Genomic DNA, 18,117 nt, shown 5'->3' on the forward strand with positions numbered 1-18,117 from the left:
GAATCATCTCTGGGGACATCAGAGAGGAACTCAGTGAAAGTAAATTGCACATCTTAAATCAACTTAAACATTCATAAGTATCATTTTTTTCCATTTCTTCCGCTACATTAGACCAAGACATTTCCAGCATTTTATCCTTATTTCGTGAGAGAGAACTCTGAGTCCAAAACTTAGTCAACAAACAACTAGAACTATTTCTGTTTTATCTAGTTAGAATATTAAATCCACAATCTTTAATCAATGTGCTCTTTAAAAATCACCTTACTAAAATTACATTTCTTTGTACTTGGTCAAATACTCTCAGAATCTATACTCACAAATATCATTCATGGATTTTTTCCAATATAAATTAGCAAAGCTTTCCAATGCTTTCATTTTTTTCTCCCAGGGTAACTTTATAATTGGCCCCCTGGGGGATGCTAGATTCTTAGTCCCATTATAGATCTGGATAAAATGATAAATTTAAAGTTAGTGGAGGTGTTCATGAGAAGAACTGACAGCTCTAGAGGTTTTTATAGTTTCCTAGCAAGGCAGAAATGGCCTCCTGAGACCGTGTGGAAGAGAGGTTGCATCTGTAGACTAGGGATGTATGTGGTCAGAGTTTAGGGAAAACTTCAGCAATCTTGTTACCTCCTCTTGCAACCACTTTTATTGTCATGTTCATATCCCTTCATACACCTTATTAAGTATTTAAATTTAGCATGAGATAACTTTTATAATTCATAATGATGAAACTTAAGTACATTTCAGAGACTGTTTTGAGCATTCACATATATTAACAAATTTACTCCTCACAATACCTTATAAAGCAGGCATTATTATTTAAATGAGAAAATTGCATTACAGAGATGGAAATTTGCCCCAAATTACAAAGCTAGAAATAGCTGAACTAGAACCTGAACCAAAATAGTCTAGTTTTATAACCCTTACATTTAACTATACTGAGGCCGAGAGATCAGTGAATGTTGTAATTCATAAACCCACAGGACCAAATTTTAATTCAAGCTTTTAGGTATATTATCCCTAAAAATGTAATTGATGAGAAATTCTTTAAATTCAGTCACAGAAATGATATGACTTGTTGTCTTTTACTTGGAACTTAAAAAGTTAGCACTCTAAGCTTTTTATTCTCTTTAAGATGACCAGTATAAATAAAGGAAACAGCTCATTATACATTGCTTCGATTTTTCATGTTTTTTTAATATATATTTTTTCTATTAAAATGTTGTCACTTGAACTTTATTCCAGTTATCCACACATGGTAATTTAGTTACTTAGCCAAAGCATGCCATAGGCTGCCATGAGTTACATATTTTAATTATACTGTTAAATGACAGAATTCCAACCAGGCCGGAAAACTGTTAAAATAAATTAAATTTTGCCTAAGTTTACCTCAGAACCTTGAATTCCTCCATAGTAAACTTCGACCTTAGTATGAAAACCACTACAATCTAACAAGAGCATAATTTTGTAATAAATATTTATTACAACATCTGAGCTTCACAACATCTGAGCTTCAGCCAATCACAAGCTACCAACTGAGCAGACCAAGTCCAAATAAGGAAAACTCTGAACTGTAACCAATCAAGCTTTTTATGTAGTTCACTTCCATTTTTTGTCTATAAATGCTTCTTGCCCACAGCTGTGCAGCACAGCTTTTTGAACCTTTTCTTGTTCTATGGACTAATTGATTCATGAATTATTGTTTGCTCAATTAAATTCTGTTAAATTAAATTTGTCTATGGTTTTTTTATTTTAATAAAGCCATTCCCAGATGTCCAACAGTACCCTGAGGGTCACCTTCTTTTATTTATATCTTCCCCCATTTCATAGAGGTTTTAGGTAATTAATTTTAATAAAAACATATAGGTTCTAGCAAATTAAACAGGAAGTTAAGCTTCCAACTACAATGTTCAAAACAATGCTATCAATTTGGCTTCTTGAGAAGATAATCGCAACCACTGAAGTCACTCAATCACTCGACAAAGGCATTATCACCCCCTCACTGACACTGCCCCACCAATGCAACTTGAGTGTTACAATTCAACCTTTTGCTTCTGTTGTTACTGAAATCTGGGCGTATTTGCTGGCAAAATGAATTCCATAGAAATTCTAAATACTCTGAATGAAAGTCTCTAGGACTAAGTGTATTGCTGAATCCATGGTCCATGACCTAGTCCTAGATCTAGGCCTATAATGGGTCCACACTAAATGACTGCATTTTTTAGATGTTAACATTGTGGGACATAGATATCACAAAAATGGGAATTTGCTCAAACAAGGACATCAATAAGTAATGAGTCATCAGAAAACCTGACATGGCAAATAATCTGAGAAGACAAAAAGAGCACATACTGATCTCTCTCTATAATGCAAAAGACTTGTGATAATGTTCATAATTATGTTAATAATAAGAAAATCCTAAATAAAGTAATAACATAAGGATACTTTTTAACAATAAAAACCGTGTTTAGTTTAACAAAAGAAATGCTAGAATGATTTTTAAGCAGAAATACTAGGAGCAGTGTTATTGAGTTCAGAATTTAGATTTATTTTTGGTCATTGTCATTATTATTCAACAATGTCTTGGAAGTCACAGCTAGTATCACTGGGAAGGGAACTTAGAGATATAAAAATTGGAAAAGAAGAGTTATAAAAATTATTTAATGATAATTTCTTGATGATTAGAAAATCCAAGGAGATTAAGTATAACACTACAAGAAAAAGCAGGAGGCTATAGGAAACTGGCTGGTTAAAAAAAAATAATATTCAGGAATCAATAACTTCTTCATATAGAAATAATCACCAGTTAGAAGATACGTTGATTTATAACAGTAAAACAACAAAAAGCATGAAAGACATATTAATAAATATAACTAGAATTATACATTATTTCAATCACTTTTAACACTTAAAATTTCCCTAAGTTGAGATGAACAAAGGCAAACAAAAAATAGATTGATAGACAAAAATATTTAAAGTCACAAAATGCCAATTATTCTTATGTTAATTAATATATCTAATGTACTCTTAATACAGATGACAAAAGGAATTTTTAACTAGCAAAGCTGATTCTACATTTTACAGGGAAAATACCCAAAGAAATTTTGAAAATTAAGAATAATAAAGCAACAGTACTGCTAACAGACAACAAAATATATTATGATGCCATAAAAATAAATCATATGGTATTGGTATATGAACAGATGGCAAAATAACTGCAAATGAAAGTTTTAAAGTATCTGCAGATGCATGAACACATTTAATATCTAATGAAGTGTTTCCCATGTTTATGATCACTAGAAAATGATAGGATGTTAAAAAATGATGTAAGCTCATCTAAGTATTCATCTAACAAAAAAAAAAATGTGGATCTATGCATGAACCCCAACTAAGACACATTCTAATTAAACTAAAGCAGTGTATTTTAAAAATAAATAAATAAATAAATGAGAGAAAGAGAAAATAAAGAAGGAGGATGAGGAAGAAGAGCCAGAAGAGGAGCCAGAAGGGGGAAAAAGAAGAGGAGGAGGAGGAGGAGGAGGAAAGAGAAGAAAGATGAGGGGGAACAAAAGGAGGAGAAGTAAAGTAGGAGAAAGAGAAGAAGAAAGGTGAGGATTTTTTTTTAAGGAGCCATGGGAAAATTAATTTCAGAATTAGTGAGTCTTTTCTATGACAAAAATGAATAAAAATTCCATTAACCAAATTCACACCAACTTATTTGCCCTTGAAAACCCCAGCTTCTAGTAACCACCATCTTACTCTTTTATTTTATGAGATCAACTTTTTTTTTTTTTCATTGCAGGGTACATGTGCAGGATGTGTAGATTTGTTACACAGGTAAACGTGTGCCATGGTGGTTTGCTGCACCTATCAACCCGTCACCTAGGTATTAAGCCTAGCATGCATTAGCTCTTTTCCCTAATTATCTCTGTCCCTCTGCCCTCCCATGAGAGGCCCCAATGTGTGTTGCTCCCCTCCCGGTGTCCACGTGTTCTCACTGTTCAGCTCCCCCTTATAAGTGAGAACACGCAGCGTTTGGTTTTCTGTTCCTGCATTAGTTTGCTGAGGATAATGGCTTCCAGGTTGTTTATGTGGTTGCTTCGTAGTGTCATTGGTCTGTGTACTTCATTGTGTTTTTGTAGTAGCTGGGAAAGGTTTTTCCTTTCTGGGAATGGTTTTTCCTTTCCATGTTTAGTGCTTCCTTCAAGGGCTCTGGCAAAGCAGGCCTGGTGGTGATGAAATCCCTCAGCATATGCTTGTCTGAAAATGATTTTATTTCTCCTTCGCTTATGAACCTTAGTTTGGCCAGATATAAAATTCTGAGCTGGAAATTCTTTTAAGAATGTTAAATATTGGCCCCCAAACTCTTCTGGCTTGCAGGGTTTCCACTGAAAGGTCCACTGTTAGTCTGATAAGCTTCCCTTTGTAGATGATTAGGCCTTTCTCTCTGATTGCCCTTAACTTTTTTTTCCCTCATTTCAACCTTGGAGAATCTGATGATTTTGTGTCTTGGGGTAGATGTTCTTGGGGAGTATCTTAAGGGGTTCTCTGGAATGTCTTAATTTGAATGTTGGCCTTTCTCACTAGGTTGCAGAGGTTCTGGATGATACCCTGAAGTGTGTTTTACAACTTGATTCCACTCTCCCTAACTCTTTCAGGTTCTACAATCAGTTGTAACTATGGTTTTTTTTTACATAGTCCCATAGTTCTTGGAGTTTTATTCATTCTTTTTCATCCTCATTACTCTAATCTTATCTCCCTGCCTTATTTCAGCAAGATAGTCTTCAAGTTCTAATATTCTCTCTTCCACTTGGTTGATTCAGCTATTGATACTAGTGTTTGCATCATGAAGTTCTTGTGCTGTGTTTTTCAGCTCAATCAGGTCATTTATGCTCCTCTCTAAACCGGTTGTTCTAGTTAACGGCCCCTATATTTTATTATGGTTCTTAGCTTTTTTTTGCATTGGGTTAGAAAGTAACCCTTTAGCTCAGTGAATTCCTTATTACCCATTTTCTGAAGCCTACTTCTGTCAGTTTATCCATCTCAGTTTCAGCCCTGTTCTATGCCCTTGCTGGAGAAGTACTGAAATCATTTGGAGGGGAAGAGGCATTCTGGCATTTGGTATTTTCAACATTTTTGCACTGGATTTTCCTCATCTTCATGGATTTATCTGCCTTTGATCTTTGAGGCTGTTGACCTTTGGATAGGGTTTTTGTGGGGTCTTTTTTGTTGATGTTGTTGTTGTTGTTGATTTCTGTTTGTCTGTTTTTCTTCTAATGGTCAGGCCCCTCTTCTGCAGGTCTGCTGCAGTTTTCTTGTGGTTGATTCCAGATGCTGTTTATCTGGGGATCACCAGGCTGCAGAACAGCGAGGATTGCTGCCTGCTCCTTCCTCTAGAAGCTTTGTCCCAGCAGGGCACCAACTTGATGCCAGATGGAACTCTCCAGTATGAGGTGTCTGGCAACCGCTGTTGGGAGGTCTCACCCAGTCAGGAGGCACCCAGGTCAGGGACCCGCTTAAGGAAGCAGTCTGACTGTCCCTTAGCAGAGCTGGTGCACTGTGCTGGGGGAATCCCCCTCATCTGGATTGCCTGGACTCTTCAGAGCCAGCAAGCAGGAAAGATTAAGTTCACTGAACCCAAGACCACAGCCAGCCCTCTCCCTAGGTGCTCTGTCCCAGGGAGATAAGAGTTATGTCTCTATGCCCCTGGCTGGCATTGCTGGAATTCCCATAGGGAGGCCTTGCCTGGTGAGAGGGATGGATCTGGGTCCCACCTAAAGAAGCAGTCTGGCCATGACCTGTCACAGCCCCTGTGCTGTGATGTGCGGAATACCACCCAGTCGAAACTGACCATCATCCCTAGCACTGGATGGGGAGAACCACCAACTAGATCCACAGTAATGGCGGTTGCCCCTCCCGCCTGGGAACTTTGTTGTTTTAGGCAGACTCCAGGCTGCTGTGCTGGCCAGCGGAGATTCCAAGCCAGGGGTGTTAGTTTGCGGGGTTCTGTGGGAGTCAGCAAGGCTGTTGGCTCCCTGGCTTCAGCCCCTATTCCACTGGAGTGGATAGTTCTCCTGCCTCACTGGAGCTCCGGGTGCCACCAGAGTCTGTGAAAACTCCTGCAGCTTATGTAATGGATTACGTTTATTGATTTGCGTATGTTGATCCAGCCTTGCATCCCAGGGATGAAGCCCACTTGATCATGGTGGATAAGCTTTTTGATATGCTGCTGGATTCAGTTTGCCAGTATTTTATTGAGGATTTTTGCATCGATGTTCATCAGGAATATTGGTCTAAAATTCTCTTTTTTTGTTGTTGCGTCTCTGTCAGGCTTTGGTATCAGGATGATGCTGGCCTCATAAAATGAGTTAGGGAGGATTCCCTCTTTTTCTATTGATTGGAATAGTTTCAGAAGGAATGGTACCAGCCCCTCTTTGTACCTCTGGTAGAATTTGGCTGTGAATCCGTCTGGTCCTGGACTTTTTTTGGTTGATAGGCTATTAATTATTGCCTCAATTTCAGAGCCCGTTATTGGTCTATTCAGGAATTCAACTTCTTCCTGGTTTAGTCTTGGGAGGGTGTATGTGTCCAGGAATTTATCCATTTCTTCTAGATTTTCTAGCTTATTTGCATAGAGGTGTTTATAGTATTCTCTGATGGTAGTTTTTATCTCTGTGGGATCAGTGGTGATATCCCCTTTATCATTTTTTATTGTGTCTATTTGATTCTTCTCTCTTTTCTTCTTTATTAGCCTTGGTAGTGGTCTATCAATTTTGTTGATGTTTTCAAAAAACAAGCTCCTGGATTCATTGATTTTTTCAAGGGTTTTTTGTGTCTCTATCTCCTTCAGTTCTGCTCTGATCTTAGTTATTTCTTGCCTTCTGCTAGCTTTTGAATGTGTTTGCTCTTGCTTCTCTAGTTCTTTTAATTGTGATGTTAGGGTGTCCATTTTAGATCTTTCCTGCTTTCTCTTGTGGGCATTTAGTACTATAAATTTCCCTCTACACACTGCATTAAATGTGTCCCAGAGATTCTGGTATGTTGTGTCTTCATTCTCATTGGTTTCAAAGAACATCTTTATTTCTGCCTTCATTTCATTACGTACCCAGTAGTCATTCAAGAGCAGGTTGTTGGGCCGGGCGCGGTGGCTCACGCCTGTAATCCCAGCACTTTGGGAGGCCGAGGCGGGCGGATCACAAGGTCAGGAGATCGAGACCATCCCGGCTAAAACGGTGAAACCCCGTCTCTACTAAAAATACAAAAAAATTAGCCGGGCGTAGTGGCGGGCGCCTGTAGTCCCAGCTACTTGGGAGGCTGAGGCAGGAGAATGGCGTGAACCCCGGATGCGGAGCTTGCAGTGAGCCGAGATCCCGCCACTGCACTCCAGCCTGGGCGACAGAGCGAGACTCCGTCTCAAAAAAAAAAAAAAAAAAAAAAAGAGCAGGTTGTTCAGTTTCCATGTAGTTGAGCGGTTCTGAGTGAGTTTCTTAATCCTGAGTTCTAGTTTGATTGCACTGTGGTATGAGAGACAGTTTGTTATAATTTCTGTTCTTTTACATTTGCTGAGGAGTGCTTTACTTCCAACTGTGTGGTCAATTTTAGAATAAGTACGATGTGGTGCTGAGAAGAATGTATGTTCTGTTGATTTGGGGTGGAGAGTTCTGTAGATGTCTATTAGGTCCACTTGGTGCAGAGCTGAGTTCAATTCCTAGATATCCTTGTTAACATTCTGTCTTGTGGATCTGTCTAATGTTGACAGTGGGGCATTAAAGTCTCCCATTATTATTGTGTGGGAGTCTAAATCTCTTTGTAGGTCTGTAGGGACTTGCTTTATGAATCTGGTTGCTCCCGTATTGGGTGCATATATATTTAGGATAGTTACCTCTTCCTATTGAATTGATCTCTTTACTGTTATGTAATGGCCTTCTTTGTCTCTTCTGATCTTTGTTGGTTTAAAGTCTGTTTTATCAGAGACTAGGATTGCAACCCCTGCTTTTTTTTTGTTTTCCATTTGCTTGGTAGATCTTCCTTCATCCCTTTATTTTGAGCCTATGTGTGTCTCTGCAAGTGAGATGGGTCTCCTGAATACAGCACACTGATGAGTTTGACTCTTTATCCAATTTGCCAGCCTAGCCCATTTACATTTAAGGTTAATATTTTTATGTGTGAATTTGGTCCTGTCATTATGATGGTAGCTGGTTATTTTGCTTGTTAGTTGATATAGTTTCTTCCTGGCATCAATGGTCTTTACAATTTGGCATGTTTTTGGAGTGGCTGGTACTGTTTGTTCCTTTCCATCTTTAGTGCTTCCTTCAGGAGCTCTTCTAAGGCAGGCCTGGTGGTAACAAAATCTCTCAGCATTTGCTTGTCTGTAAAGGATTTTATTTCTCCTTCACTTATGAAGCTTAATTTGGCTGGGTATGAAATTATGAGTTGAAAATTCTTTTCTTTAAGAATGTTGAATATTGGCCCCCACTCTCTTCTGGCTTGTAGAGTTTCTGCTGAGAGATCCATCATATAAAAAGGACCAAAGACAAAAACCACGATTACCTCAATAGATGCAGAAAAGGCCTTTGACAAAATTCAACAGCTCTTCATGCTAAAAACTCTCAATAAATTAGGTATTGATGGGACGTATCTCAAAATAATAAGAGCTATTTACAACAAACCCACATCCAATACCATACTGAATGGGCAAAAACTGGAAGCATTCCCTTTGAAAACTGGCAAAGACAGGGATGCCCTGTCTCACCATTCCTAGTCAACATAGTGTTGGAAGTTCTGGCCAGGGCAGTCAGGCAGGAGAAAGAAATAAAGGGTATTCAATTAAGAAAAGAGGAAGTCAAATTGTCCTTGTTTGCAGATGACATGATTGTATATTTAGAAAACTCCATCGTCTCAGCCCAAAATCTCCATAAGCTGATAAGCAACTTCAGCAAAGTCTCCGGACACAAAATCAATGTGCAAAAATCACAAGCATTCTTATACAACAATAAAAGACGAGCAGAGAGCCAAATCATGAGTGAACTCCCATTCACAATTGCTTCAAAGAGAATAAAATACCTTGGAATCCAACTTACAAGGGATGTGAAGGACCTCTTCAAGGAGAACTACAAACCACTGCTCCATGAAATAAAAGAGGACACAAACAAATGGAAGAAAATTCCATGCTCATGGATAGGAAGAATCAATATCGTGAAAATGGCCATATTGCCCAAGGTAATTTACATATTCAATGCCATCCCCATCAAGCTACCAATGACTTTCTTCACAGAATTGGAAAAAACTACTTTAAAGTTCATATGGAACCAAAAAGGAGCCCGCATTGCCAAGTCAATCCTAAGCCAAAAGAAGGAAGCTGGAGGCATCACACTACCTGACTTCAAACTATACTACAAGGCTACAGTAACCAAAACAGCATGGTACTGCTACCAAAACAGAGATATAGACCAATGGAACAGAACAGAGCCCTCAGAAATAATACCACACATCTACAAACATCTGATTTTTTGACAAACCTGACCAAACCAAGAAATGGGGAAAGGATCCCCTATTTAGTAAATTTTACTTCGAAAACTGCCTAGCCATATGTAGAAAGCTGAAACTGGATCCCTTCCTTATGCCTTATACAAAAATTAATTCAAGATAGATTAAAGACTTACATGTTAGACCTAAAACCATAAAAACCCTAGAAGAAAACCTAGGCAATACCATTCAGGACATAGGCATGGGCAAGGACTTCATGTCTAAAACACCAGAAGCAATGGCAACAAAAGTGAAAATTGACAAATGGGATCTAATTAAACTAAAGAGCTTCTGCACTGCAAAAGAAACTACCATCAGAGTGAATAGGCAACCTACAGAATGGGAGAAAATTTTTGCAAACTACCCATCTGACAAAGGGCTAATATGCAGAATCTACAAAGAACTCAAACAAATTTACAAGAAAAAAAACAAACAACCCCATCAAAAAGTGGGTGAAGGATATGAAAAGACACTTCTCAAAAGAAGACATTTATGCAGCCAACAGACACATGAAAAAATGCTCATCATCACTGGCCATCAGAGAAATGCAAATCAAAACTACAATTAGATACCATCTCACACCTGTTAGCATAGCAATAATTAAGAAGTCAGGAAACAACAGATGCTGGAGAGGATGTGGAGAAATAGGAACACTTTTACACTGTTGGTGGGACTGTAAACTAGTTCAACCATTGTGGAAGTCAGTGTGGCGATTCTTCAAAGATCTAGAACTAGAAATACCATTTGATCCAGCCATCCCATTACTGGGTATATACCCAAAGGATTATAAATCATGCTGTTATAAAGACATATGCACACGTATGTTTATTGCGGCACTATTCACAATAGCAAAGACTTGGAACCAACCCAAATGTCCATCAATGATAGACTGGATTCAGAAAATGTGGCACATATACACCATGAAATACTATGCAGCCATAAAAAAGGATGAGTTCATGTCCTTTGTAGGGACATGGATGAAGCTGGAAACCATCATTCTGAGCAAACTGTCGCAAGGACAAAAAACCAAACACCATATGTTCTCACTCATAGGTAGGAATTGAACAACGAGAACACTTGGACACAGGAAGAGGAACATCACACACTAGGGCCTGTCGTGGGGTGGGGGGAGTGGGGAGGGATAGCATTAGGAGATATACCTAATGTAAATGACGAGTTAATGGCTGCAGCACACCAATATGGCATATGTATACATATGTAACAAACCTGCACATTGTGCACATGTACCCTAGAACTTAAAGTATAATTGTAGTAAAAAAGAAATTTAAAAAAAAAAAAAAAAAAAAAAACTCCTGCAGCTCAGCCCCTGCAGGAATAACCAGAACAGCTGTCATGGGTTTGCTCAATTTTGTGCTTGAGACCCAAGGCCCTGGTGGTGTAAACTTACAAGGAAATATCCTGATTCATGGATTGCAAAAATTCATGGGGAAAAATGCAGTACCCGGGCAGGGAGCCCAGTCCCGCACTGCCTCCATTGGCTGGGAGAGGGAGGTCCCTTTGCCCTGTGCAGCTCCCAGGTGAACTGTCACCCTACCCTGCTTTTCCTTGCTCTCTGTGTGTTTCGCCAACTGCCTAGTCAATCACAGTGACGTGAACTGGGTACCTTAGTTGGAAATGCAGAAATCACTTTGTTTATCATGTTTGTCTCACTGTGAGCTGCAGACCGGAGCTGTTTCTACTCTGCCATCTTGGCCTGTCCTCCGAGATCAACTTCTTTATAGGTCTTTGGTAGTTTTCTTTCATGCCTGGCTTGTTTCATTAAACCTAAAGTTCTTCAGGTTCATTCATGTAGCAGTAAATGCCAGAATTTTATTCTTTGTTTATGACTGAATAGGATTCTACTGTATATTTATACTACATTTTCTTTATCCATTCATCCACTGATAGCTATTTGAAGTAATGCATTTTTAATTAGCTAGATTTCACCAATTCACAATGTATATAATACTTCAGAACATCCTGTTGTATGTTATAAAAATATATAATGGAATTTGTCCGTTTATTTAAAATAAAATAAAAATTTCAGAAAGTCTAAGATCAAAAAGCTCAATATGTAAGTTTTTAAAACTTAAAAAATTATGCACAATACTTAAAAGACAAAAACTGGAAAAATATTCACAATATACTAAAATAGATAATTTTATTAAATGATAAACAAATAGGTCAATGTGTGAATGTCCAATTGAAAATTAATTTAAGTAGTAAACTTACAAGGAAAACAAGAGGTTCTCATATATGATGATATTCCATTTCACTTATAAGAGAGAAATACACATTAAAATTAAACTGAAATACTTTCAACCATTAGCATAGCCAAAGATCTAATTTTTTGGTAGCACATTAATTTGGGAATTAAGTTCTCTCATACATTACTGTATAGCACAGTCTACCCACATGCTTTACTGTTGGATGGTACAACATCCATGGAAAACAATGTGACACAATAAAAAAAAAACACATATTATAACATTCTACCTAGAAATATTTCTTGTTGTTTATTGGCTATGTAAATATTCACCTATGAATAAGTTACATAGATGAAAGACCTTCCAAAACATTTTTGAGAATTTGAGAACATGAAAGAGAACTGATAGAATTGATAGGAAGATTTAAAGTCAAAGAAAAAGAAAAGGTATTAGTACTTAGTCTGTCAATTTAAAGTGATTTAAGTGATGTCTAATATCACTTATAATAAAGAAAACATACAAAAATATAGGCAATTTCATAAGAAAAGTTTTTGTACCCACTGACCAGCTTTAACAAATCCATGTTATTGCATGTAACAACAGTTGCTTCTCCTTCATTGCTGTGTGACATTGTTATTTTGCTTTATCATATATTGTGTATGTATGTATTGTATATATTTGAGCGTGAAATAGCTGCAGGAAATATTGCCTTTAGTAGACACAGTTTTAGTAGATACTGACATTCACCATTACCAATATCTGTGACATTGTGTATATTTTTAACTGTGTCTTTGCTTCCTCCTCTGTAAAATGGGAGATAATAGTATTTACCTTATGAAGTTTCTATGAGGATTCGATGAGAAAGTATAGGTGAAAATATTTAGAGCTGTTTCTGGCACGTAGTAATTGTGTGTTATTTATTTAACATCATCCTCATCTTCTCTAAGATTGTTCTATAATTCTTTATATAACATAGAATTTTAAAATACACAAGAAAATGTTTTGACATATTCTCTCCTGATTATATCATTTTCAAAGAGGTATACTTTTATAGTATATTGTTTTATAATTATTCTATCCAGCAATGTAACATTTTGATTTATATTTGTTTTTAAATTTACATATAAAATTGTCTATATTTGTGGTGCATATGATATTTGGATGCACATATACATGTGGAATGGTTAAATAAAGCTAACTAACATATGTATTACCTTGCATACTTATTTTTTGTACTGAAAGTATTTATAATCTACTCTCTTAGCAATTTCCAAGTATACAATATATTGTTTGTAACTATAGTTAGCCTGTTGTACAATAAATCTCTTTATTTCTAACTTAATTTTTTGCATCTTTTAACCAATATATTTTTAAAACCTCACCCTTCAGCCTTACTAATTACCATTGCACTTTCCATCTATTTTTTGTTACAGTAGCCCATGGCTGTATCCTAATTAGCTATAAGAGGCCATGCATTTTATTAGGTCCTATGTTCATTTTCTCAGGCAATCCTTAGGGAATGCTAACTTATTTCAAAGATGCTGTCTCTGTTTTTACCTCCCACCTCAGCCAGGAGTTGTGCTTCACAACACAGGTCTACTCTTAGGCAAATCAACTACTTATATCCTGAAAGAACTATTTCAGGCTGCAGGGATTTTTCTCTAATTATAAATATGAGTTTTAGATTTATGTTCTATGACTTTTATAGATCCCTGAAATAGTATTTTGGAATGTGGTTACTTACTAGAAATATAAAAATTAGGTAACGATTTAATTATATTACTAATTATTTACCTTTTATTTTATTTTTGAGCACCTACTAGTGTGTGGCATTTTGCCACTTATTGAAGATGGTAAGATATATAAGTGCAGTTTCTGTTACAAGGGTCTTACCAGTCCCAAAATGTCATCCAGAAGCTCAAGCAAAATTAAATTTTTTCCAAATAATATATTTCTTCTCTAACACCTTATAAATACATTTGGCCTACTAAAATGCATATTCCATAATGACATAAGCAGAAAAATCTTCTTTCAGTCTGTTAACGAATCTTTCAGAATAGTGTTAAAAGGGAACAATATTGTGTTAGTCCATTTGCATTGACATAAATACCTGAGGTTGGGTAATTTATAAAGAAAAGAGGTTTAATTGGCTCATAGTTCTTCAGCCTGTGAAAGAAGCATGGTGCTGGCACCTGCTTCTGGTGAGGCCTCAGAAAGCTTCCAATCAGAAGATGAAGCACAGCAGACATGTCAAAAGGCAAGAGTGGGAGCAAGAGAGAGAAAAGGGGCTCTAAGACTCTTAAACAACCAGATTTCAGGTGAATTAACTGAACTGTATAAGAACTCACTCATCACCATGGAGATGGCTCTAAGCCACTCATGAAGGATTTGTCACAATGATCCAATATCTCCCACTCAGTCCTACTTCCAATGTTGGGGATAACATTTCAGCATGAGATTTGAAAGGGACAAACATCAAAACCATATTAAATATGTACCTCAATATTTACTTCAGTCATTTTTCTTTTGTTCTTAAATTTAAATCAGTAATAAGAAGACTAAGAAGTGAGGCAGTGAGCATGTATGGATCATGAAAGGAGGTGAGGTGGTATTTATGGGGTATACCAGGCCAGGCACGTGCCAGCAAGGAGTGATAGGACTTGTGAAAAACTGATGTCCTAAATTCAATAAAAATAAAACAAAACCTACTAGCAAAAACTCTGCAGGATAAAATTCACCTTACATGAAAGTATAAGGCGAAAGTGCTGAGTTTTATATCCAAACCTATTTGATGCCGAAGTCCATCCTTCTTAATCTCTTAGGGCCATTAATTGTAGTTCATTCCTAAACCAGTACCTTAGTGGACTACCTTGAATGTTTCTAAAACCCTCATCTGCCACACATTCTCCAGACTTTTCTTAGAATGGTCTTAAGCAAATGCTTATTACCATCAATAATCTTTTGAGTTTTGTTTTTCTCACAAATGTTTACTTTAATTCCATATTCTGAGTGTTCCTTCTTGTAAGTAATATATTAAGATTGTAGTAATGTTATAAAAAAAAAAAAAAAAAAAAAAGCTTAGGCTCGGAGCAGCGGCTCACCTCTGTAATCCCAGCTCTTTGGGAGGCAGAGGCAGGTGGATTACCTGATGTGAGGAGTTTGAGTCCAGCCTGGCCAACACGGTGAAACCCCTTCTCCCTAAAAAAAAAAAAAAAAAAAAAAAAAAAATAGCCTGTTGTGGTGGCAAGCACCTATAATCCAAGCTACTTGGGAGGCTGAGGCAGGACAATCACTTGAACTCAGGAGGTGGAGGTTGCAGTAAGCCAAGATCATGCTATTGCACTCCAGCCTGGGCGACAAGAGCGTAACTCCATCTCAAAAAAAAAAAAAAAAAAGCCTCTTGTCAGTTTGTCCCTCTCCCCTGCATGGACTTAAATATGTCTTTGTCTCTTTCCCTTATAATACTTCCTTAACCATAATGTTATGTCACTTGTGTTTCATGAATAATAAGAATAAGAAAAGTCAGAAAATGTATTGGTCAGATTCTAAGGCAGTCTATTTTAACAGAAAAAATAACAGAGCCCAGGATAATTAGATCCTTTCCAAAGTAACTTTAAATATTAGATAATAAGTTAATACATGAGTAAGTGAATGATTAAAAGAATCCAAAATCAGTCCTTCTTTTACTATTTAAGATACGTATATCACTGTCATTTTATCATACTGTATCATTTATTCTTCAAGTATAGAATGTTAATGTACTTGTGTGATGAGTTTTAACAAAAGTCATTTCATAAAGAAAATGCATGATTACATTTTTTCTATAAATACTGATTTGAAATATGAAATATGATATCTCCTTTTTTTAAATTTACTTTTTTTGTGCTGGTGTCAATAAAATGTAATCCAATCCAACCCAACCAATATTCTTACTCGGGAATTGGAGCCATAAAATATCATCTTATTAACTGGGTAAATAAAGCCTGTCTCTTTAGAGTATAACATTTCAAAGTGCTTCGGTGAATTGCAGGCTTTAAGACCACTTCCAGTAAGTCTCTTTGCTTAAGAAAGAAAAAAACATTGATTTTCTAATATATGTCGAGTATGCTGCTCAGAGTACAAAAACCAGTTAAAAAAGACAGTAGCTGTGAAAAGCTGAAGAGAACGTGGGTGAGAGAAAAAGCAATTTATTTTACCTAGGAAACTTTGGAAACTGATTTAAACAGAATAAATGGTATAAAGAAATCAGACATTTGTCCAAAATTCTAAATATAGAAAAAGGGGGTTGAAGTGTAAAAAGCCAAACTGCTTACAAATGTAAAAGTAGAGACTAGTTATCAAATACTTTTTGTTCAAATTGGTCAAAAGGAAGGGAGAAAAATATTTCTGCTTTTTAAACATTATAAATTTACAAATTTTCATTGGCAGTGAAGAAATACGATGTCTTTTCATACTTCCAGATTAACAATTACTTTACCTTTCTTTTTACTTAATTACTTCAACTATTTTTTTGTAATAAATTGACTTTTCTCTTGCCTAGGCAGTGACATGGTTATAAGCACTGGATTTAGGGTCAAGCAAGACTCAGTCTGAATATTTGTCTTATTATTTCTAGATATATAACAAGTAATTTTCTTGAGCTTTCTTTACTTTCAATAATACAGACATAATAATAGTTCCCATATAACAATTGCTTTAATAAAAAGACATATTCATGCAAATGCTTTATCACAGTGCCAGCAAATGGTAAGCATAGTAAACATTCAACATATGCCCACAAGGGTGAATATAATGAGGATGTTTATGAGTCACACTATAGCTGTCTCTCTCTATCCCCTTCCCCTGTGTATATATCTATCAAAAAAATAGTGACACAAGACAGAAGTATCAATACAGTGGATTCTCCATATTTCATATTTGTTGAGTTCTTCATCTGCGAATTCAACCCAACAGGGATTGAAAATATACCAGAAAAAGAGGAAAAAAGGAATAATTGAGTCTGTATCAAACATACATAGAGCTTTGTTCTTGTTATTACTCCCTAAACAATACAGTGTAACTACATACATTGCATTTACATTGCATTAGGTACCATAAGTAATCTAGAGATTATTTAAAGTATAAGGAAGGATTGTGCAGGTTATGTGCAAATACTAGACTTCTTAATATAGGGGACTAACAAGCAAAATGAGTGTTTGAGGCATAAATCTTAAATTGTAGAAGTTTATTGAGCCAGCTTGAGGGTGTGACCAAGAAAAACGTGTCACAGAAGCATCTGTGGCTGTTTTTCCCAAAGAAGTTTTCAGGAGATTAAGTATTTATACCTATTTCTTACAAGTACTGGGAGAGGCAGCAGTGACACAAAGGTTACATACTTGTGAGAGACTTTAATTAGTCCCCAGTAAATCTACATTTTATATAACATAAGGTGAACATTTGAAGAAAAAGGCAAAAGAGGAAGCGACTTCTCAGAGAGAAGTGAGGGAAAGATGAATTTCAACTTGTCTTTGTTCTGTATATGGGAAGATAAGCAAGTAGTCTTTTGAAAGGGCTGGTTTCTGTTTAGCCCATAGGGAAGAAAGCCTGAAGGTTTTTGGGGTAAAAGATGTATAATGAGGCATGTACCATCTTCTATCCCTTTAAGGCCTTGAATTCAGCTTCCAAGATGTCTCTTGGGTTCCCTTGGCCAAGGGAGGGTTCATTCAGTCAGTTGGGGACTTAGAATTTTATTTTTATTTCTCAGGACTTAAGCATCTGAGGATTTTGGTATTTGCAGGGGGGTCCTGGAACAACACCATGAATACTGAGGGGTGTGTGTGTGTCTGTGTGTGTGTGAGAGAGAGAGAGAGAGATTGCATGCAACATAGGCTAGAAAGCAACAACCCTATCACTTATTGAGCACTTACTCTGTGTGATTCTGAGAGATTTAAAATTTAAATAATTCAATAATATCAACACACTAATACTATTGTTAGTCTCTGTTTATAAATAGAGAAACTGAGACATAGGGCAGTTAATCAATAGGTCAAGTACGGGGGTTGCATTACATGCTATCTGGCTTCCAGCATTTGTGGTCCTAGATGTTATTCTTTATTGATTTTCATGGAAAAATTTGAACTTTGAACCCACAAAATGATATCAGAAGGAATAAGAAAAATGCTCTCTCTCTCTGGTTTTCAGCAGCTTCATCAGCATTCTTTTTACAAACATGGCAGACAAAGATTGTGCATCTCTAAATTAGTGTTTTGAAAAGAATTAGTAAATATTGTTAAAGAAATGTTGTGGCCACATGCTCTTGATTTTCCCTTTTAAAAAGGCATTCAGCAACCTACAATTGAGGAATAATTTCAGAACATAAAGAAGGACAATTGAGTTTCCCGGC

Source organism: Homo sapiens, chromosome 14 (genome assembly GCF_000001405.40).
Source record: "Homo sapiens chromosome 14, GRCh38.p14 Primary Assembly".
NCBI classification, from domain to species: Eukaryota; Metazoa; Chordata; class Mammalia; order Primates; family Hominidae; genus Homo; species Homo sapiens.